Raw genomic sequence first — 22,790 nt, 5'->3', positions numbered from 1 at the left:
CTTTTATCAGTGTGTTCACTTTATTTTTATTTCAAACACAATACAAAATTACAGGATGCTATCAAAGTGATGCTACAAAACCCCAATAAAATTTTTTCAATTCTTCAAATCACACACTTACACACACACACACACACACACCACATGCATTCCCCATACAGGCCTTTTTTTGGGGGGGCTGAGTAAATAATTGCATTTTATTTTCAATTTTTCATTTTGAAATAATTAAAGACTTACCAAAAATGTTGCAAAACTACGTGCCTTTTTGAAGTAAAGTCTTCAAAAAGTTGTTTGGTATATCCTTTATAGTAAAAAAAGAAAACACGTGTATATTCTGTTGATTAAAAGCATGCTGAGATTTTTAGACATGTGATTTCATCAGAGACTCCAATATAGAGCATAGCTGTAACGACATCCTAAGAGTGTTCTAATTGAAATGTGTTGGAAGAAGGTTCTAATTTTTTTCAACCCTTCTCAAGTTGGCACTCAGCAGATTTCCACTCTATAAAAATAACTCCTGCTCTGCAACTAATGTTCACAGATAAGCTCCAAACATATTTACAGCTCCATTTAAGTATAATGTACACACAGTAAAATTCACCCTTTTAAATGTGCAATTTAATGGGTTATGGCAGATGAATATCATCATTTGACCACAATCATGATCAAGATACAGAAAATCTGCATCATCACAAAATGTTTTCTTTTGCTGTTTTGCATTTGATCTTTTCTCCATTCCTGAACACAGGCAACCACTAATCTGCTTCTGTTTCTACAGTTTGCATTTTCTAGAGTATCCTATTAGTGGAATGATACATTGGTGTCTTTCATGTCTAGCTTCTTTCACTGAGCATAATGCTTTTGATATTCACTTATATTGCTGTTGTATCAGTTTGCTCCTTTTTATTGTTGAGTGGTACTCCATATACAACTGGTTTATCCATTTACAAGTTGATGGACACATCTGCTATGAACTTCAAGGATGAGGCTTGGTACGGATATGTTTTTAATTATTCTGAGTCGCAGTGGAATTACTTGGCTATATGATCAGTACTAAGTTTAACATTAAAAGAAACTTCCAAACTGCTTTCCAAAATGTCTGTACCATTTTGAAGTCCCACTAGCCAGGTGTGAATAGCAATTCTTCACATCATGTGGTATGGTCAGTTCTGCCCGTGTCAGCCACTCCAGTGGGTGTACAGTGGTATCTCAATGTGGTTTTAACTTGCATTTCCCTGATGACATGTAATGTCAAGTATCTTTTCATTTGTGTATTAGATATCATCTCTTTTTAAATTAAAACATCTGTACAAATATTTGGCCCATTTAGGTCAAAATGTTATATTAAATGAGTTATCTGTGTTTTGTTATTTAGTTTTTTAGTTATGTGTACATTCTAGATGAAAGTTCTTTATCAGACATATTTAAAATTATTCTGTCCCAATCTGTGGTTTGCCTTTTCATTTTTTGATTCTGTGTTTTAAATTGCAAACGTTTTAATTTCATGAAGTCCAATTTACTATTTTTTCCATTTTCATCCATCCTTTTCTTATCTAAAAAATTTTTAGCTATAGTAAGATTATTAAAAATTTTTCCTATTCAGTAAGCTTTATACTTTTTATATTTACATTATCTATAAAATACATGTTGAGTTAATTTGAGGATATGGTGTGAGGTAATTCTGAAGTTCATATTCTCCATTTAATATCCAATTTTAATAGTACCATCTTTATAAAGACATTGATTTCCTTATTGAATTATTTCGGCAACTTTGGCCATGTAAGGCTGGATATATTTCTAAATTATTTACTCTGTTTCACTGATATATATGTCTTCTTCATGCCAGTAAGTTCACTGTACTGGTTAGTGTAGCTTTACAATATGTCTTGAAATTTGGAAAGTTTTCCAACTTTATTCTTTCTAAAACATGCTCTGGCTATTCTTGGACTTCCGCATTAAAAAAAAAAATTAGAATCAGCTTTGTAATTTCTCCAAAAAGGCCTATAGGTTTGATTGGGATTGTGCCAAATCTGGAGATCAGTTTCAGGGGAATTATCATCTAATAAGTATTACATATATATTTACCAATGAACTTCATACATATTTCTACCTATTCAATTTCTCGTATTAGTGATTTAGAAATTTTGGATTGGCATACCTTTTATTAAATTTATTCTGAATTATTTTATTATTTTTGAGGCTATTATAAGTTAAATTGCTTACATAATTTTATTTTCTAATTGGTGTTGATTGTGTATAGAAACACAATTGATTTTATTTATTGATCTTTCATCCTACAACTTTGTTAAATTCACTTCATACCTCTAGCACACTTCTGCAGATGCCTAAGGATTTTCTATGTATATGTTTACATCACATGAGAATATTATTTTTCTTTCTTCCCAACTTGGGTGTCACTTATTTCTTATTTTCTTTTCTTTTCTCTTTATTTCTTTCTTCTTTCTGTCCATTCCTCCTTCCCTCCCTTCTTTCTTTCTCCCTGTTTTAGAATCAGTTTTGTAATTTATCCAAAAGGACCTATAAGGTTTCATGGGAATTCCACTGAATCTAGAGATCAATATCAGGAGAATTATCATCTCATAAGTATTAAACACTTATCAATGAACTTGGTATATATTTCCACTTATTTAATATTGAATGCAATACTTTAAAGAACTAGGGAGAGAGGACATCATTGCATTTTTCATAATCTTATGTAGAAAGTATTAAGGCTTTCACCATTTTAAGTAAGATGTTTGCTATAGATTTTTTGTAAACACATAATCAGTTTGAAAATGTACTTTTCTATCCTCAGTTTGCTGGGAGTTTTTAATTTAAAAAATTTGCTACATTTTGTAAATTCCTTTTTTGCATCTATCGAGAGTGTCACGTGATTTTTCTTTTTTCTGTCAGCATGGTAGATTGTCAGTTGTTGAAACCAACTTGAGATAAATCCCACTTGGTTAAAACACATTATCATTTTTAAATATTCCTAGACTCAATTTGCTAATATTGTATTAAGAATGTTGCATCTAAGTTCATAATGGTTATCAGTCTGTCATTTTTGAGTTGTGATATCTGTATTTGTTTCTGATATTGAGAGAATCCACGTAAAACATCTACTTCTGTCATCAGTAATAATCTGACCAGGGATAACACCAACGGTTACAGAGGAAGCTGTCATTACCTGTGGCAGCAGAGATATCAGAGATTCCAAAAAGAAAAGCAAGGTTAAATTTTCAAATATAATCACATGAAATATCAGAAAGCCAGAGGATAGAAATATAGGAGAGCAAAATCTTAGAGGTCAAAACAAGTAGTTAAGTACTGCACATGATAATAAAAAGTAAAGTCTTTTCCTAAGGCAGAGCCTGGCTGCTGCCTAGCTTCTTTGACAATTCTTGGTAGGCTTTCATGGCTTTAGAAGGGCTTATACTTTAGGTGAAGTTATAGTCAGGGAAACGGTGGGTGTAGGTTGGCTCTGTAGAAATGAAGCATTACAGGAGCACTGCAGTTAGAAAGAAAATGATACTGATGATACTTCGGTCACACTAATAATACATGCTAATGATAATCATAGCAATATTGGTAATGACAGAAAAAATATATATATAACATTAACATGTTTCTATTTGCACATATACATATGTGAATAGAAACGTTGATTTAAAGACATGAAAGTATAGAAATAGCCTACACCTGATAAAGATATGCTCATACACAATAACAAACATCAGTATAAACAGAGGTTTTGATGTATCACAGAATTCTCCAATAGACCACAATTCTGACACTATGGGAAGTGTCATTTTCAGAACTTTTCTTTATCTCCATTATCTCCATTCTCTATTTCCAACATTCCTGGAGACTGAACTCAAGGATCAGTAAATATTCTCAACCTTAACCATAGCAGACTTCATTCATCCCATATACGCTTGTTGTTTTTCCCCATTGACAGAAGGCATTGTACCATAAAATATACAACATATCTCTGACACACCTGATGAAAACAAACAATGGGGAAAGATTTACTATTTAATAAATGGTGATGGGAAAACTGGCTAGCCATATGAAGAAAGCTGAAACTGGACCCCTTCCTTACACCTTATAAAATAATTAACTCAAGATGGATTAAAGACTTAAACATAAGATCTAAAACCATAAAAACTCTAGAAGAAAACCTAGCCAATACCATTCAGAACATAGGCAAAGGCAAAGACTTCATGACTAAAACACCAAAAGCAGTGGCAACAAAAGCCAAAATTGAGAAATGGGATCTAATTAAACTAAAGATAGCTTCTGCACAGCAAAAGACACTATCATCGGAGTGAACACACAACCTACAGAGTGGGAGAAAATTTTTGCAATCTATCCATCTAACAAAGGGCTAATATCCAGAATCTACAAGGAACTTAAACAAATTTACAAGAAAAAAACAACCCCATCAAAAAGTGGGAAAAGGATATGAACAGACACTTCTCAAAAGAAGACATTTATGCGGCCAATAAACATATGAAAAAAAGCTCATCATAGGCTGGGCGTGGTGGCTCACGCCTGTAATCCCATCACTTTGGGAGGCCAAGGCGAGTGGATCACAAGGTCAGGAGTTTGAGACTTGCCTGGCCAATATGGTGAAACTCTGTCTCTACCAAAAACACACAAAAAAACTTTAGCCAGGCGTGGTGGCATATACCTGTAATCCCAGCTACTCAAGAGGCTAAGGCAGGAGAATTGCTTGAACCCATTAGGTGGAGGTTGCAGTGAGCCGAAATTGTGCCACTGCACTCCACCCTGGGTGACAGAGTGAGGCTGTCTCGAAGAAAAAAAAAAAAAAAAAAGCTCATCATCCCTGGTCCAATGAGATACCATCTCGCGCCAGTTAGAATGGCAATCATTAAAAAGTCAGGAAACAACAGGTGCTAGAGAGGATGTGGAGAAATAGGAATGCTTTTACACTGTTGGTGGGAGTGTAAATAGTTCAACCATTGTGGAAGACAGTGTAGCAATTCCTCAAGGATCCAGAACTAGAAATACCATTTGACCTAACAATCTCATTACTAGGTACACATCCAAAGGATTATAAATCATTCTACTATAAAGACACATTCACACATATGTTTACTGCAGCACTATTCACAATAGAAAAGACTAGGAACCAACCCAAATGCCCATCAATGATAGACTGGATAAAGAATATGTGGCACATATACACCGTGGAATACTATGCAGCTATAAAAAAGGATGGATTCATGTCCTTTGCAGAGACATGGATGAAGCTGGAAACCATCATTCTCAGCAAACTAACACAAGAACAGAAAACCAAACACCACATGTTCTCACTCATAAGTGGGAGTTGAACAATGAGAACACATAGACACAGGGAGGGGAACATCACACACTGGGGCCTGTCAGTGGGTAGGAAGGAAAGAGGAGGGATAGCATTAGGAGAAATACTTAATGTGGATGACGGGTTGATGGGTGCAGCAAACCACGACAGCACATGTATACCTATTTCACAAAACTGCAAGTTCTGCATATGTATCCCAGAACTTAAAGTGTATGTATGTGCGTATATATATACACACAAATGTAAATGTAAATGTAAATAAATTGAAAATGGTAAAAATAGAAATATGTTTCCTACACAAATAGTGACATAATAAAGCAAGATAGAATGTATGTTTGAGTTAAAAAAAAAAATTGCTTAGAAGACTCCTTGAATTCCATTCCAAGGAACTAGTTTTCAAAAGTTTACAATCAGATTTCAGTTTGGAAAAAGGCAACAATGCTGTTTTGAAAATAATTTCTGAAAAGAGCTTCCCCAGCAGTTCCAAATGGCAGTCCTGATACAAGGAAGTAGGGGCAATTTTGTTACCACCAGGAACATTGAATTTCTTTTCAGACCTTGAAATTCTGGGAGGCCCTCGAATAATAATCAACTACAATATTTTATTTTACATAGAAATATCGTTTTAATGTTAATATAAAAGCTTGTATATGAACTAAAATTGTCAATATGCCACTTTTAAGAAAGAAGAATCCATTATGTCCCTAATCTATAGTGAGTTGATATGTTCCATAAGCAGTTCTGGAAGGAGGCTACACTTAGAGCATAAATAGGTATAGATCGCTTTGCTCTCACAGATAGCGACACAATATTTTCTGCTGAATGGGAAAAAGTTTGAAGGCATAAATCAAGATACAGCAATCATCTGACAAAGAATTACAAAGAGGCCCCACACCTTTTTCTTAGTGAACGCCATGTGACACATTGATTTTCCACTGAAGATAAAAGCCAAAATCATGTGTCATCAATATAAAGCAAGCAAAACTATTTGGTTCAATATGTTATGGTACTTAACAAAAAAAAACTTGCAGAGAAAAGACAAATCTAAAATGTTGCACATGATTCAAACAAGTCTGGATCAGAAGAGACATTTCAGAGGTCACTGCTAGAGAGTCAAGGACACATTAGAGAGAAATAAACTCCTGCTTTTTTGTTTATCTACTTACATACACAGATACTGTCTGATGAAGATGATTGATATCAGGTATGGTATTTGATGGTATAGTTATTTACAAAATAATTCATCCCTTATGATCTAATGCAATTTTCTTCGTATTACACGTGTATATTTAAATACTTCCTTGTGAAGTGGAGGCTAGCCAGGCTGCTGTTAGCATATCCAGTACATTTCTGCAAATTCCAAAATGGCAAATCCCACAGTTGAAATTTCAACCTCTCTAGCGTCCCTCGGCTGGAGAGCATAATCACGGCAAAAATCTGCAACATCAGAGGTGGCCGCCCCAGACACAAAGTCTATGTTTCTCATTCAATTCTACCAAATCTAGTCAACAGTCTGGGTGAGGGGGCTTGGCAGTATCTATGAGCAGAAAGCATTCAAATGGCTGGTATATGTGCTTCCAGGGGAACTAAGGGAAGAAAAGAGAGAGGGAGGGAGGGAACAAGAAGGAAACTCAAGGAGAGAGGAAGGGAAGGAGGCTGGCAAGAAGGGATGGAGGGAGCAAGGGAGGGAGGAATAAAGGAAGGAAGTTACACCAAGTTTCAAAACTGGCCACGGACTGAGAAGGATTCAGAGACAAACTGAATTGAAAGCATTTATGTTCACACTCGGTATTTTTCTTACCCATTCTTGCAAATTAGTAATTTAAAAAATTTCATTTCCACAAATCCACGTGTTTTCTTGTTCCTCTCTCTCCGCTCTTTTTCCTTCTTTCCTTCCTGCCTTTCTTCTTTCTTTTCAACGTAGGTTATATAAATGTGTGAGAGCTATCACTAGTCCACATTAATCATCAGGATTTTCCTGTATATTTCCAATTAAGATGACCCATAATAATATTCTACTGTAATTTTGGAGGGTCCAAAATACTAGATGGCATTTAGTGTTTTGGAAATCATGACAAGTCTAACAGGACTTTAATAAACCTATCAAGACATCTGATGTGTTTTCTTGCCCATACACTCTTTAATGAGGTCTGCTTGACCCTTTCTTCTTCCCTTCTCTAGTCATGGGTTCTTCACACTGAAAACTAAGCTTTGCATCAGTGTTTGACGAACAGGTGACATAATAAACTGCCGTTACATTTTAAATTCAGCTCAAGATGGTAGATGAGAAATCTAAGATTGTGAAGTGAGATTTAGCATGCTGTTCAGTATGCAACAAATCTGAGTGTTGCTCACACAGGATTCATACCAACAGGCTCCTTCCAAAACCTTTCAATGCAAATTCTAGCAAATGCACACTTGGAAGAAAAATGTTCCATGAAGTTGTATATGTAATTTATACTTTCAGCATTTATGTATATAATTTCAGGGGAAGTGGGATCAACTTAACATTATTAAACATAGTCCTACGATATTTACAACATAACTTCAGAAACATTTTATTACTAGAAGTATTAAAAAAATGATGTACCATTTAGGATTTAAGACACACCCCACAAATGAAAAAACAAATTAGATTATAAACAACATTTTTTAAAAAAATTATGCCATCTCTTTCACTACAAAATCCTCCTGGGGGAAAAATATCTTTTCCTTCATTATTAAAAGATGTTATCAGAGCACAGTGGAATTCTTTCAGATTTAGTCAGAAGGTTCTCTGGAGTTGAGAGATCTACTGGAGAATATTTTATTTGAAAGTCCATGTCCTTTCCTCAGGCCTACATCATATATAAATAAACATTTCAGAAAAGGGGCCATGTTAGGAGAAAGTGGGTTGAAGATTGTAAGACCTGTTTCCTGGGTGCCAAATAATTCACAAGTTGGAATAAGCTGGGTTTTTGTAACACTTCTCTATGACTGCCATTGATACTGAACTATGCCAAGGAACTAAGTCCTACCAAGGAAAAGCAGGAGGAAAACAGGTGTAAGAAAACATTTCCTGTCAGTGTGTCCAGAGATAGCATGAGTCAACAGCTGCTCCTCATGAAGCCATCGATTCGTTAACACTGGAGTATCTAGAACGCATCTGGGTCGAATTATTAAAAAGAAAGTTCTTCTCAAGCTAGTTGTAATGGTAGCTAATTTAAAAAATCAATGTTCTGCGATTCTGATAAAAACCTATGTGGTGAACCAACAATAAAGGCGGCTGAAGATATTGGTATGAAATAGTTATTTTTCTTTATATACCTGGACGTTCATGTAAGAAATTATACTTTTGGAAGGTCTGTAATATGCTCAGTGTATGAATCATTTTTAGAAGTTATTGTCAGAATTTTGCTTTAATAGTGCAATAAAGTGTGCATTCTCTCTCTCTCATTTTCATTCAACAGCCTCTACAAGTTGAGCCTGGCTCAAAGGTCTTTCCCTCTTGGAATATGACTCCTCCCCTGTCCCTCTACATAGGCTATTCTATAACAAATTATTTTGCTGTCTTGATTTTTCAGAGACCTCATGCTAGTAGTAGAGAGCCAGGAGAAAGTGAGATGTCCTATATAAAAGGCCTGCTAGAAAAAGAAATCAGCACTGAGTTCTAAGGATACTGAACAACTTTTTAAAAAATAAAGCAAGCCATATTAAACACATTAGTTACAACCAAATTAGATAAAACAATGAAAATTATCCAAGAAGAAAAAGTACATCAACTGTCTAGGTTTAAAATTGTTTAAGGCTGCCATCCAAGGACCATCTATGATAACAAATACAGTAGTCTGTATTGACACAAAGTTTTAGTGATAGATGTAATTACATTCTTCTGCTGGTGGTGTTCTAGAATAAATGGAATATCTGCTGATCAAATCTGAATGCATCCCATAATATTAGCATGTAGGATCCCAGATCTGCAGGCACTATCTCTTTCTCAGATCTACACTTTCAATATTATGTTAGTTAAAATGAGAAGTATGTTAGAAAATGTCTTTTAGAAAAGAAATATTGGCTGAGTATGGTGGCTCATGCCTGTAATCCCAACACTCTGGGAGGCCAAGGTGAGAAGATCTCTTGAGCTCAAGAATTTGAGACCAGCTTGGGCAACATATGTATAAAAAAATTTAAAAATTAGCCGGTGTGGTGGTGCACGCCTATAGGCGCAGCTACTTGGGAGGCTGAATCAAGAGCATCACTTGAGCTTGGGAGTTTGAGGTTGCAGTGAACTATGAACATGGCGCTGAACTCCAGTCTGGGCAACAGAGTGAGAACTTGTCTTCAAAAAAATAAAAAAGAAGAAAAAAATAGGAAATATTGTGTTCACATATGCTATGGTACTCTTTCTTATATAAACTATTTCTTTGCAGTATTCTAGAGGATTTAAGACAAATTTACCATTTAATAATTTAATATGGTATATTATTGCATTAGTATAGTATGTTTTTATATAATTAGTATAAGTGACCAGTGCTGCAACAACCACATTCCAGAAAGTATTGTGATCCTCCAAAATTACAATGTCTAAATGACATTATTCTCCTTCATGAGACCATTATACCTTAATTTTTCAGCACCATGAAAATCTACAAATGCCCTCTAAAATATATTTAGAAAACGTGGGAAAAAAATAGATACAGTTTCAGAAGATACATATATTTTGAAAATTAGCCTTTTTGGAATAAATTATTCTTTATGACATATAAATAAACACATTTTTCAGACTGGCGGGGTAACATTTGCATCAGTCAAAATAATTAGATTACTAAAACTTGTAATCTTATTAGAAAAATGGTTTATTCAGAGAATCATTGGAATTATTAGCCTTCAAGCTGCTATATAATGAATCTGATCAAAATAATTAAGATAATATGATTTCATTTTTCAGTATAATATCTCCTTAGTATTTTTGTTTCTTATTTAATATGTGATTATATTTACTTCTGTGAATAATATGGATGAAGATCATTACAGTGTCAAGATCACTGTGTTCAGAACACGGAAATCTCAAGTCTATTCTTTTTTCTTAAATACCTGTAAGACTTTAAAGAAGACAGAGTTTCTGGACTCTAATTTCTCTACCTGTAGAATAAATGGGTTAGACCAAATAACTCCTTTCTGCTTATAAATTTTCTAATTATATGACTGAGCTTACACCTGGAAAACAGTCTATCTCCTGTATAAATTAATGATAGAAATGAAAACCACCATGTTTCATGAAATTAACCACATAAATATTAACATCAACTGCTCAGAAGGACTTAAGTGCAAGTATCACAGGAATTCTGAAGCACAGAGAACTAAATATAAGAGATATAACACTCTTCGTATTTTCAAAGAAGATTTTAATAATATATGTAAACAGAGTAGCCTGTTCATAAGAAAAAAGAAAAGTGACGTCTTAGCATATTCAGGGTTCCACCAAAACTACTACTGGAATGTAAATCAAAGTAATATTCACCTGTCATAATTGGCGTGAATAACTTTAAGTAAAACACTTTTATTAGATACTAAATGTGAACAATAAGCCAAAACAGAGAAAATTAATAAATTGATCATTTATTGAAACTGAAATAAAAATATATAATTATTGAAGCCTCTTATATACATAAACCAATCATTGCTTAAATGAGCCGACATACTAGCTCCATAGTTTCATGTCACTAAGGAACTCTTTTGAACACAATAAAGAAACCAGAATTGAGCACAAAGAATGATGAACTGGGAAGTTCATGGCTTTCTATCTACTAATTAGGAGTACAATCATTCAGTCAAACAGCCACTCAACAAACATTTAGCATGCAGCTTCTGGATACCAGGTACTGGTGTAGGTGCTAGAGCAACAAGGAAATAGTCCCTGCATTCAGTGATCTCACAGGCAAGTAAACAAGTAAGTATAAAGACCGCATGATTGATTGGGAGCGGTGGCTCATGCCTGTAATCCCAGCACTTTGGGAGGCCAACGTGGGCAGATCACAAGGTCAAGAGATCGAGACCATCCTGGCCAACATAGCGAAATCCGTCTCTACTAAAAATACAAAAATTAGCTGGGCACGATGGTGCACGCCTGTAGTTACTTGGGAGGCTGAGGCAAGAGAATCAGTTGAACCTGGGAGGTGAAGGTTGCAGTGAGCTGAGATCGCACCACTGCACTCCAGCCTGGTGACAGAGTGAGACTCTGTCTCAAAAAAAAAAAAAAAAAAAGACTGCATGATAAATGTATATCTACAAAGGGCACAAAGGAATGAGCAGCTAATCCCCAAAGGCATATGGAGCAGTGAGTATAAGCTTCAGGAAAAGAAAGTGAAGTAAAAAACTAACCTGAATCTGAAAAAAATGAGTAGGTATTTTCCAAGCATGTTTCAGGGGAAAAGTGGCAGGATGCAGAAGTCTTCCCAAGTACAAAAAGAGAATGAACTCTGGACTACTGGCAATTTATGGCACACAGGAATCAGTAAATGTAGGGATGAGAGGCACACAGAAACATGGGCAAAAACAGGAATTTTGACTTTATTCCATAAATCATGGAAAGCCACCAATGGGTTTTAAGTAATAAAATACTAAGACCAGGTTTGCATTTTAGAAAGATCAATTTGATTTCAGTGAGGAGGTCCAAAAATGAGAGCAGCAAGGCCAGACAGAGGGTCCTACTGCAACTAGCTATGGTTGGAGATGCAGACCAAAACTAAGGTGAAATCATTTAGAAGAAAGAACGTGTATATAAGAGCCATTGGTTTGGCCTCTCCACATCATTTTTTTTAATTTTATTTTATTTTTATTTTTTTTTTTTTGAGACGGAGTCTCGCTCTGTCACCCAGGCTGGAGTGCAGTGGCGTGATCTTGGCTCACTGCAAGCTCTGCCTCCCGGGTTCACACTATTCTCCTGCCTCAGCCTCCCGAGTAGCTGGGACTACAGGCACGCACCACCACGCCCAGCTAATTTTTTCCATTTTTTAGTAGAGATGGGGTTTCACCGTGTTAGCCAGGATGGTCTCGATCTCCTGACCTCGTGATCCACCCACCTCGGCCTCCCAAAGTGCTGGGATTACAGGCGTGAGCCACCGCACCCAGCTGGCCTCTCCACATCTTTACTGTTATACTGATAACATGGGGATGAAAATAAATATTATTTGTATTTAAACTATTATTGTTATGTGAAAATTAAACAAATAACACACTATGATAACATCTGAGGTTCAAGAAATATTAAGTCTTGAAAATAGGAAAGATGAAAGGAAGGAAACAGGGAGTGGGGAGGAAAGTAGGAGAAAGGAGAGAATATGGGAATGAGAGAGGAGGAAAATAATAAGAAAGAAGTAGAAAGCTAGGTATAGTGGCTCATGCCTTAATCCCAGCGCTTTGGGAGGCCGAGTCAGGCAGATCACAAGGTCAGGAGTTCAAGACCAGCCTGGCCAATATGGTGAAACCTTGTCTCCACTAAAAATACAAAAATTAGCTGGGTGTGGTGGCAGGCACCTATAGTCCCAGCTACTCAGGAGGCTGAGGCAGGAGAATCACTTGACCTTGGGAGGCAGAGGTTGCAGTGAGCTGAGATCACACCACTGCACTCCAGCCTGGGTGACAGAGAAAGACGCTGTCTCAAAAAAAAAAAAAAAAGAAAGAAAGAAAGAAAGAAAGAAGTAGAAAAAGATATAGTATTACTTAATCAGCAGAAGCTACTCTTATTTTTCAATACTCTACCTTTCTAATGTATCACTGACAAGGAAAGGTCTTGAATAATTGACTGAAGTCAGAATAGGTAAGGCACTCTACCTGTGGATACATGAGAGGCCTTAAAAAGTTCATGGAAAATGTATATTATGAAAAAAAACTATGCAAAGGTTTCAATTTTGGCAGCAAAATAAAGTCATACTAATTTATGAGTTTTATTATTTATACTAAATTATGTATTTATACTAATTATTTATATAAATAAATATACTATTTATTTATACTAATTATACTAAATTATTTGTTTATACTAATTATTATTTATACTAAATTATTTATACTAATTTATTATAGCACGTCTGCACAGGATCTAGTTTGAGACAGTAAGAAGGAGTAGACATTAGTTTGAAAAGAGCCCCTAGCAGAGCAATGTAAATTCTGCTAAAATTGAAGCAAGAACAAACATTAGATTATGATGAAGCTTGGGTGAAAGAACGGTGAAATCACTGATGCTTTACAAGAAGTTTGGGGGGACAATGCACCAAAGAAATCAGTAGTTCACAAGTGGACAGCTTTTTTAAAGAAGAAACGAGATGATGTGGAAGATGACGTCCACAGGGACAGACCATCCATATCAATTTGCAAGGAAAAAAATTAACCTTGTTTGTGCCCTAATTGAAGAGGACTGATAATCAACAGCACAAACAATAGCCAACATCATAGACATCTTAATTGGTTCAGCTTACACAGTTCTGACTAAAAAATTAAAGTTGAACCAACTTTCCACTGCATGGGTGCCAGAAGTGTTGTGCCCAGATCAGCTGCAGACAAGAGGAGAGCTCTCAATGGAAATTTTAAAGAACTAGGGTCAAGATCCTGAAGGATTTCTTTGAAGAATTGTAACAGAAGATAAAACATGGCTTTCCCAGTATGATCCTGAGGGCAAAACACAATCAAAGCAATGGCTACCAAAAGGTGGAAGTGGTCCAGTCAAAGCAAAAGGGGATCACTCAAGAGCAAAGGTCATGGCAACAGTTTTTTGGGGACATTCCAGGCATTTTGCTTGTTGACTTTGTGGAAGGTCAAAGAACAATAATATCTGCATATCATGAGAGTGTTTTGAATAAGTTAGCCAAAGTTTTAGTGCAAAATACCTGGGAAAGCTTTAGCAGAGAGTCCTCTAACACCACAATGTTTCTGCTCATTCCTCTCATCAAGCAAAGGCAATTTTGTGAAAGTCTCAATGGGAAATTGTCAGGCATCCACCTTACAGCTCTGATTTGGCTCCTTCTGACTTCTTTTTGTTTCCCAATCTCAACAAGTGTGGAAAGGGCACCCATTTTTCTTAAGTTAATAATGTATAAGAGACTGCATTGACATTGTTAAGTTCCCAGGATCATCAGTTCTTTAGAGATGAAAACCGAAGATCACATTTTCAATGTTTACCCTTTAACTTCATTTTCCACAAACTTTCTGAAGTTTCTCCATACAAATGAGCACTTGCAAAATAAGCAGAGAGTCTCATTCAATGGACAGAAAGTTCTGTGCCATCTGAAAATTATCTTAAGCAAGTTCAATGTGTAGCAACAGACTGTATTGATAAATATCAGTTAGGTTGACTTCTGCAATGACCATGATGGAGTAACAAGAACTAGACTTTCTCTCCCTCCTGAAACAACCAAAAAAATGGCCAAAATGTATGCCACAAAAGTTTGCAAGACGCTGTAAAGTCAGTCTCAAACAAGGTGAGCCTATCAACTGCCCTAATTTATGCCTGGAGAAAGTTTTCCAGCCCAGTACTCCAGGAGAAGAGCCCAAGAGGAGCCCATTGTTCTCCCTGAGCTGAGGGGAAAGAGCTGAGAGTCCACAGAAACCATGTTGACATGAGCTCTCAGGACAAGGTTTCCGAGAAGAAGGAGCTGCACAGAAAGAGAACTCCAGAGCTCTGCAAAGGGTCCCCCTAAAGTACATAGCTAAGTAATTGTTAGGACAGGCATAGAGAAAAGTACCTATGGTTGGGGAAAGAACACCCAGATAAGATGAAAAGTAACAGTACACATGCTCACCAAGGTCCAGTAATAGTGCTTATTTTATCAGCCAAACCAGAAACACCTCAAGATTCCCAGGGATACCCAGAAGGATCTTGCCTCACTAATTGGGAGTGATTAGCTCTAAAATGAGAACTGGTCTGATCCCACCTAATGAATTTTTAAAGCAAGACCAAAAAGAGTCAAACTCTTTCCAACTAAACTTAAATACATACCAACACAAAGATCAAGAATATTTATATATACTTCCAGCACTCAATAAGATAAAAGTCACCATATCTGACATCCAGACACAATTTAGCAGAGACGCAACAGTAACAACAAAAGACAGAAGAACGTGGCTCATAATAAGGAGAAAAATCACTCAGTCAGAACCGATCCAGAGTAAATCAAGATGCCAGAGTTATCAGTTAAGAACATTAAAATGCTTATTGAAACAGTATTCTATATGTTCTAAAATACAGACATGCAAGATACACTAAAGGAGGCTGGGCGCAGTGGCTCACGCCTGTAATCTCAGCATTTTGCGAGGCCGAGGCAGGTGGATCACGAAGTCAGGAGTTCAAGACCAGCCTGACCAATATGGTGAAACCCCATCTCTACTAAAAATACAAAAATTAGCGGGGCATAGTAGCATGCGGCTGTAGTCCCAGCTACATGGTAGGCTGATAGCACATTAGTCATTAAAGAAGAAAAGATAGACACCTCTCAAAATAAAATATAGAGAGACAATAAATTTTTAAAAACATGAACAGAGCAATAGTAGACAGTAAATTTCAAGTAACTGAATTTATGTGTAATCTCAGTTCCCAAAGGAGAGGAGAGGGAAGATGTGAAAACATTTGGAACTCTGAGTAAGGCAAAGCTTTCTTTGATATGACCCCACAGCATGATTTATAAAATAATATATTGATAAGAAGAACTCATCAAATTTAAAAAAAAGAATCTGCTCTTCAAAAGAATCTATTAAGAGACTGAAAAGGCAAGCTGCAGGCTGGGAGAAAATATTTGCAATTCATATATCTGATAAAAGGCTTGCATCAAAAATATATTTTAAAAGCTCAAAATTTAATAATGAAAAACAAACAACCCCATTTAAAACTTGGGTGAAAGACTGGAACAGACATTTCAAAGTAGACATTTGTTTGGTAAATAAGCACATACGCTCAACATAATTAATGCTTAGGGCAATGCAAATTAAAACCAAAACGAGACGCCACTATCTATTTTTAAATAGCTAAGATTAGCGTGACTGATAATAGCCAAGCACTGGCTTGGATGTGGAGAAGCTGAAACTCTCATACACTGCTGATGGGAATAAAAAAATAGTGTAAACTTTGAAAAACAGTTTAAGAGTCCCTTAAAAAGTTAAACATACTTCTGCCGTAAGACTCAGCCATTGCACTCCTGGGTATTTACCCAAGAGAGATAAAAGTAGGTGTTCATATAATGATATCAACACAAATGTTCATAGCACATGTATTCATAATAGCCCAAACTAGAAACAGTCTAAATATCAATCAATACATTAATGAATTAACTTGCTTTATCCGAATTAATTATGGATACATACTATAACATGAATGAATCTCAAAATAATTATACTAAATGAAACAAGGCAGACTCTAGAGGTAAAACATGCAGAGAAAAAAACATAAAATGTCAGACAAAAAAGTGCATAGTGTAAAATTTTATTTATATACATTTTTTGACTGTATAAATTACCGTCCAGTGACAGAAAGCAGTTCGGTGGTTGTTAAGGGCCAGGAATGAGGGGCCAAAGAAATGTATTATAAAGAGGCATCAGGAAACTGGAGGTGAAGTATATTTCCATCACCTCGGTTGTGTGCTGATGGTTTCTAAACTTTCAATATTTTTAGTTTATTATATGTTATACAAAATAAAGCTTGTAATAAAAATCAAAAGATTGAACTGAAGTTTCATGTGTAATGATTTCCTGAGCCTTTACTGACCAAGGCACACATGAAAGCATTGGCTGATTATTTCAACTGACATTAACAAGTAAACTGGTTCCTGTATACTTACATGTACAATTTGTTCCTATCCTATTTCTTTCATTTTACATGAGTGATCGTGAAAAATCCCTGCATTTTTCTTTATGCAAACACAGAATGAGTACCTCCTATCTGCTGGTAATTCCATCTACCATATCACAGTTAATTAAAATGCTGGTTGTTATTGCTGCTGTTTCTCAGTAGAACAGAAACTATGTCCATCCATCATTTAATGGAGAAAAAAATATCCTGTTCCTTAAATCAGCATCTCACCCTGCCCAACCTTTTTTTTTTTTTTTTTTTTTTTTTTTTTTTTTTGTGAGGAGTCATGCTTTGTTGCCCAGGCTGGAGTACAGTAGCGCATCTCGGCTCACTGCAACTTCAGCCTCCTGGGTTCAAGCGATTATCCTGCCTCACCCTCCCAAGTAGCTGGGATTACAGGTGCGTGCCTGGCTAATTGTTTTCTATTTTTAGTAGAGATGAGGTTTTGCCTTGTTGCCCAGGCTGGTCTTGATCTCCTGACCTCAAGTAATCCTCCCGCCTCGGCCTCCCAGTCTTGGGATTACAGGTGTGAGCCCCCTTTCAGGCCCCATTTTTTACTCACTAGAATGACAAATCCACACAGCATGGAGGATCTCTGATTTCATCTTTTCGGGCCTGAATCTTATTATTATTATTTTTTTAGACTAAAAGGAGCCTTAGATAAAAATCAATCAGAACACTGCATTTGTAACCCAACATGGGTCTCAAACCTCAAGTTTCATGTTTGAGGTTCATGACGAAAGTGTTCCTTGGTTAGTCCCACGTCGATCTGGCTATGAAGCTGCTTCCCTGCAAAGTTGATTTTCTCCTGGAAACCAATCCTTGAGTAAATATCATAAGAAGGGCTTATCCACTACATACTAGCTTGAGGCAAATCATAATTGACCCAATGAGACGTTAAGAATTAATTTGAAGTGGATAAGCCATTATTACATAAAAGTCAAAGGACTTCCTTTCCATTTCATTCCATATGATTACATGTATCTTATGTTTGTGGGAGACCAGAACGATGCCACACTGATGGGGGATTCATTCTCACGCTTACACATACTTTACACTGTGGCGGAGCCAAACGATGCCACACTATAAATGGGGGATTCATTCTCATCCTTACATGTACCTTACGCTGTGGGAGAGCTGAACGATGCCACACTATAGATGGGGGATTCGTTCTCATGCTTTCGGTTTATATCTATCTGGACAAATCTCCCATTCCAATGTGTTCTTCACTGTACAATCTACATCTATGACTTAGAAGATTTCAAAAGGTGGCCTGGAGCTAAGTTTTTGGTTACAAAACTGTTAACTAGATTTAGACATTTAGATAGATATAGTGCTTTAAATTTGGGTAACTAAAGAAGTTGAGTACATGCAAAAAAAGTTTAGCCAGGGACAGGTAAGAAGTTTTTTTCCAGTATATTATGTGTAGATTAATTTGACTACAGGATGAAAGAACAAATATTCAAGCCCCCTGCATGTTATAGGCTCTATGATATGCTGGAAAGTAAATAAATGTTCATTAATCACAAACTGTGAGTTCTGGTCCAAATCCCAGTTCTGCTGCCCATAAGCTGTTTGGCCAGGGATAAACAGTCAGCACTCCAAGCTTTTTTCTTTGAATCTACAAAATTGGCTGAAAGGACTTCTGGCTTACCAAAATCAGGAAATTGCTGAGAGAATCAGATAGATAATATATAAAATTCCTTTACAAAACTGTTAACAGCCACATACGCATTTGAGCTTGCTAGAATAAGACTGACTTTTAGAAAACAGCAGGTGAAATCTGAAGTAAAGAATATTCCCCCAGGAGTAAGGAGAACTATATTCAAACTCTAGCTCTTCCTCAGAGGAACTGATTGTTGAATAAAGCCTGGATTTCTGTTACTTACCTATAAAATAATAAAAATAAAATGAAATAAGCAAAATCACAGATTTCAGTGTCTGTGCTCTTTGCAAAATATCAGAGATTGTGCAAAACTCTTCCCTCCACTTCCAGGTTGTTCATTTCAGTAAAGCAATTACTTGAAATTGGAAGGACCTGCAGCTGTTTCCAATGGCCACATGTTCATCTTCAGAAATTCTAATCTTACATCATTGGGGGTAGTCAAGGAGGAAACAATGTAAAGAGCTTTGATACACCCTCAAATAAATGATAAATGTGTCTCAATGTAACTTTGATCAAATTCCACTTGCTTTTAATTAGAGAATACAGCGATCTTTCATATTCCTTAGACATTCAGATGCATTTCAAATGTACATTATAAAATCTATTATCCATACCTGAAAGGGCTGCCTGCTGGAAATGTTGAGGTGTTTCCTAATCCATCTGTTGCCTTGATTCCCAAATATCTGCCACAGCAGCTGTCCCCTTGAGTCACTCCAGATTCGTTGGTAGATTGCCAACCTATAAATGCGCTTTCCAAACATGTGGTAATAGAAGCGGAAGGTGCAGCCTTTTGTATCAGTGGCATTAAGGATTGGGCTGAGTAAGGCAGCACTGTCTTGAAAAGCCTGTGGCTCTGAAGATTCTATGTAGAGATAGTGTCCTTTAGCTGTGCCCAGAGTGTTATCTTTCATTGGCCCTGTGTTAAGTGTTGGAGTTGGACCCTGGCTCCTGGTCCAATCAAAGTCATCTTTTGCATCTTGTTCCCAGTTACAGATTCCAGTTTCAAAGTTACACTGCAGCTCAGGTGCTGAAATTCACATGAAATAAAAGCAAAAGATAATTAGGGACAAAAATACATGCAACCACATTCTATTTATTAATATTTAAAGAATGCTAGTTGATACTTTGCTCATGCCAAGGTAAGCCATTTTATTTTTAAAATCCAACACTGAAGTGTTTTTTTTAAAAAAAGAGTTTTTGTTTCTAAATGATATATCAATTAATAATATTTTATGAACTAAAGATGGAATTGCTTTGGACACTTTTTTCCAAATATTTTTTATGCACATCTCTTCTCCATTTCTATGACCATAACTCCAGGCACATGATCAAGACCCCATGCCTGGCTCACTGTGAGAAACTTCTGGCTCAGTAGATTTCAACCTCAACTGAATGTTCCAATCACCAGGGAACATTAAAAAACAAACAAACACTGAAGCCCAGAATTCATCTCCAGAGGTGTTGATTTAATTGCTCCTAGTGGTAAAGCCACGCATCAGGATTTTTTCGAAGCTCCCTTGGTGATTCTAACAGGCAGGGCTGGGAACAATCATGTGTTAAGAATCACCTGGGGCTCACGGTAAAATTGCTGACTTCATAGCAAAACACTGAAACAGATACTAGCTTATTAGATATAGGGTGAAGCCCAGAAATCCACATTTTTAACAAGCACCCTGATGTAGATGTTTTCCTGACCTCATTCCCAAAATCTCTTGTCTTTGGTTCCATCCCGTCCCAGATCCTAGAGTCCCTACGCATCAGTGCCAAGGTAACAATCCTTCAATGGCAGTATTACCACTTCCTTCTCGAATCCAGATTCTTTCATGTATGCTCATAGAATCTATACCTAAATAAAAACTCCTCTTTCAAACTCCACTTCTCCCAAATTAAAATGACTGCCTCATCCCTACTATTCTTCCCCATAGCCTGCACCATCTTCCCCACATATTCTAAACACCCCACCACTTCCTCCACCTCTGTTTACCCTAATGTTAGGTATGTGCCTTGCCACTTTTTTTGCTGTGATTCATCAGTATGGGTCTTTTCTTCTCACTGGATTGTAGCTCCTTTGAGCTGCAACTTCCAACTTGCTTCAGTCCCTAGACCAATTCAGACTTAGGAAGAGTCTTACAGCAGTCTCGCCTTATCTGATGTTTTGCTTTTAGCAGTTACACTAACCCACAACCAACTGTGGTAAAAAAAAAAAAAAATGTGAAATGGAGAATTCCTGAAATAAGCAATTCATACATTTTGAGTTGCAGTTCATTCTGAGCAGCCTGATGAAATCTTGTACCATCACAAATAGTAGCTATCTCAGTTATCAGATCGATTGTAACAGGATCACAGTGCCTGTGTTTAAGTGTCACCCTTATTTTACTTAATAATGGCACCAAAGTGCAAGAGTTACGGTGCAGGCATATTGTTATAATTGTTCTATTTTGTTAGTAGTTGTTAATCTCTTACAATGCCTAATTTATAAATTAAACATTATCAGGCTGGGCGCAGTGGCTCACTCCTGTAATCCTAGCACTTTGGGAGGCCAAGGCGGGCAGATCACTCGAGGTCAGGAGTTCAAGACCAGCCCAACCAACATGCTGAAACCCATCTCTACTAAAAATACAAACAAATTATCCGGGAGTGGTGGCGGGCGCCTGCAATCTCAGCTACTCAGGAGGCTGAGGCAGGAGAATCGCTTGAACCCGGGAGGCAGAGGTTGCAGTGAGCAGAGATCCTGCCACTGTACTCCAGCCTAAGCAACAGAGGGAGACTCTTTCTAAAAAAATCAAACAAACAAACAAAAATCTTTATCATAGGTATGTATGTATAGGAAAAAACATAGTATATATAGGACTAGGTACTATTCTCAGTTTCAGGAATCCACTGGTGATCTCTGAAGCCCCCAGGTAAGGGGGAAGCCTACCATAGTCAATAATTGAAAACTCTATCTAAATTTCTAGGGTAATATAGGAACGTGTCAATTTTTCAAATGATATTCACTGTAGAATAAATGGTATAAAATGGGCATTTGACAGTCTTTGGAGGAAGGGGACAGATTTTAGAATTAACAAGTAGTTCTACATTTTAGCTTCATTTACATGTTAGTTTTTTTTAAATAAATGTCAACTGTCCTTTATTCATGTTAGTAATGACACTTGATGCCAAAAGTGAACAAATACTCTGAAACAATAAATAAAAGGGTATGTGAATAAATGCAGCCAGGCGAGAATAAATCATCTGTCTTGGAAAATCACAGAAGAGGAGCTTAGACCTAATGAAGGGAACCAAGTGAGTAAATGTCAAGTGGGAGATGAGCTTTCTTTTGATATTTCCTCACTTGTGACTAATCAAGACCAGCTGTGATGTGAACTTGGGGGGACACAGGGTACCCTCCAGATGTCAGTCTTTGGCTGTAGGGCAGAAGGTGAATGGCAAGTTGCTGCGTTTCTGACATAAAACTGACGCTAAAGCAAACACGTTTTTCTATTGTCTGTCTTGGTGCTGACTGCACACTCAAACTTCATTTCCAAAGGGAATACGCCTAGCTCCACCTTTCCATAAAAGACCGCATCTCTCAATATATTTCAGGAAATCCAACATGGATTTGTGGATCTGTAATGTACACTGTGTCATGAAGTAATATGCCTTGATGGAAAGCCGTGTGAGAAACCGACATTCTTTCACTAATCCATAATCGCAAGAAGTATTTTGATACTATAGTTGTACTCGCATTATCACATCCTACTAAGTGAACACAGGGAAGTCTGAGGGGCAATTTGCTTATTTTTAGCAGCACATTGACATTTTTTAATGAGTGGGATTCAGAGAGCTTGAAAAGATGAAAAGGCTTTCGAAATTTGCAAAAATGAATTGGCCTTAGGAAAAGTTACACTTCATAGGATAGTCATTGTCAAAATCACCATTTTAATTATACCCACTCAAATATTGGTGTGTAAATTTCATGA

General features: G+C 36.6%; 1 protein-coding gene across 10 annotated transcripts in view; it reads right to left on the bottom strand.

Annotated features, from left to right (window-relative positions):
• MALRD1 (MAM and LDL receptor class A domain containing 1) overlaps positions 1-22,790 on the bottom strand; it is a 687,552-nt gene that overhangs the window by 505,356 nt on the left and 159,406 nt on the right. For all 10 annotated transcript variants that reach the window (XM_011519453.3, XM_011519455.3, XM_011519454.2 and 7 more), the window contains one exon: positions 19,443-19,855. In XM_011519453.3, coding sequence (XP_011517755.1) covers positions 19,443-19,855 — 413 coding nt within the window. The remainder of the gene's footprint in view (positions 1-19,442; positions 19,856-22,790) is intronic.

Source organism: Homo sapiens, chromosome 10, assembly GCF_000001405.40.
Source record: "Homo sapiens chromosome 10, GRCh38.p14 Primary Assembly".
Lineage (NCBI taxonomy): Eukaryota > Metazoa > Chordata > Mammalia > Primates > Hominidae > Homo > Homo sapiens.
The sequence above is the reverse complement of the archived record's forward strand: the minus strand, read 5'-3'. Positions and strand labels throughout refer to the sequence as shown.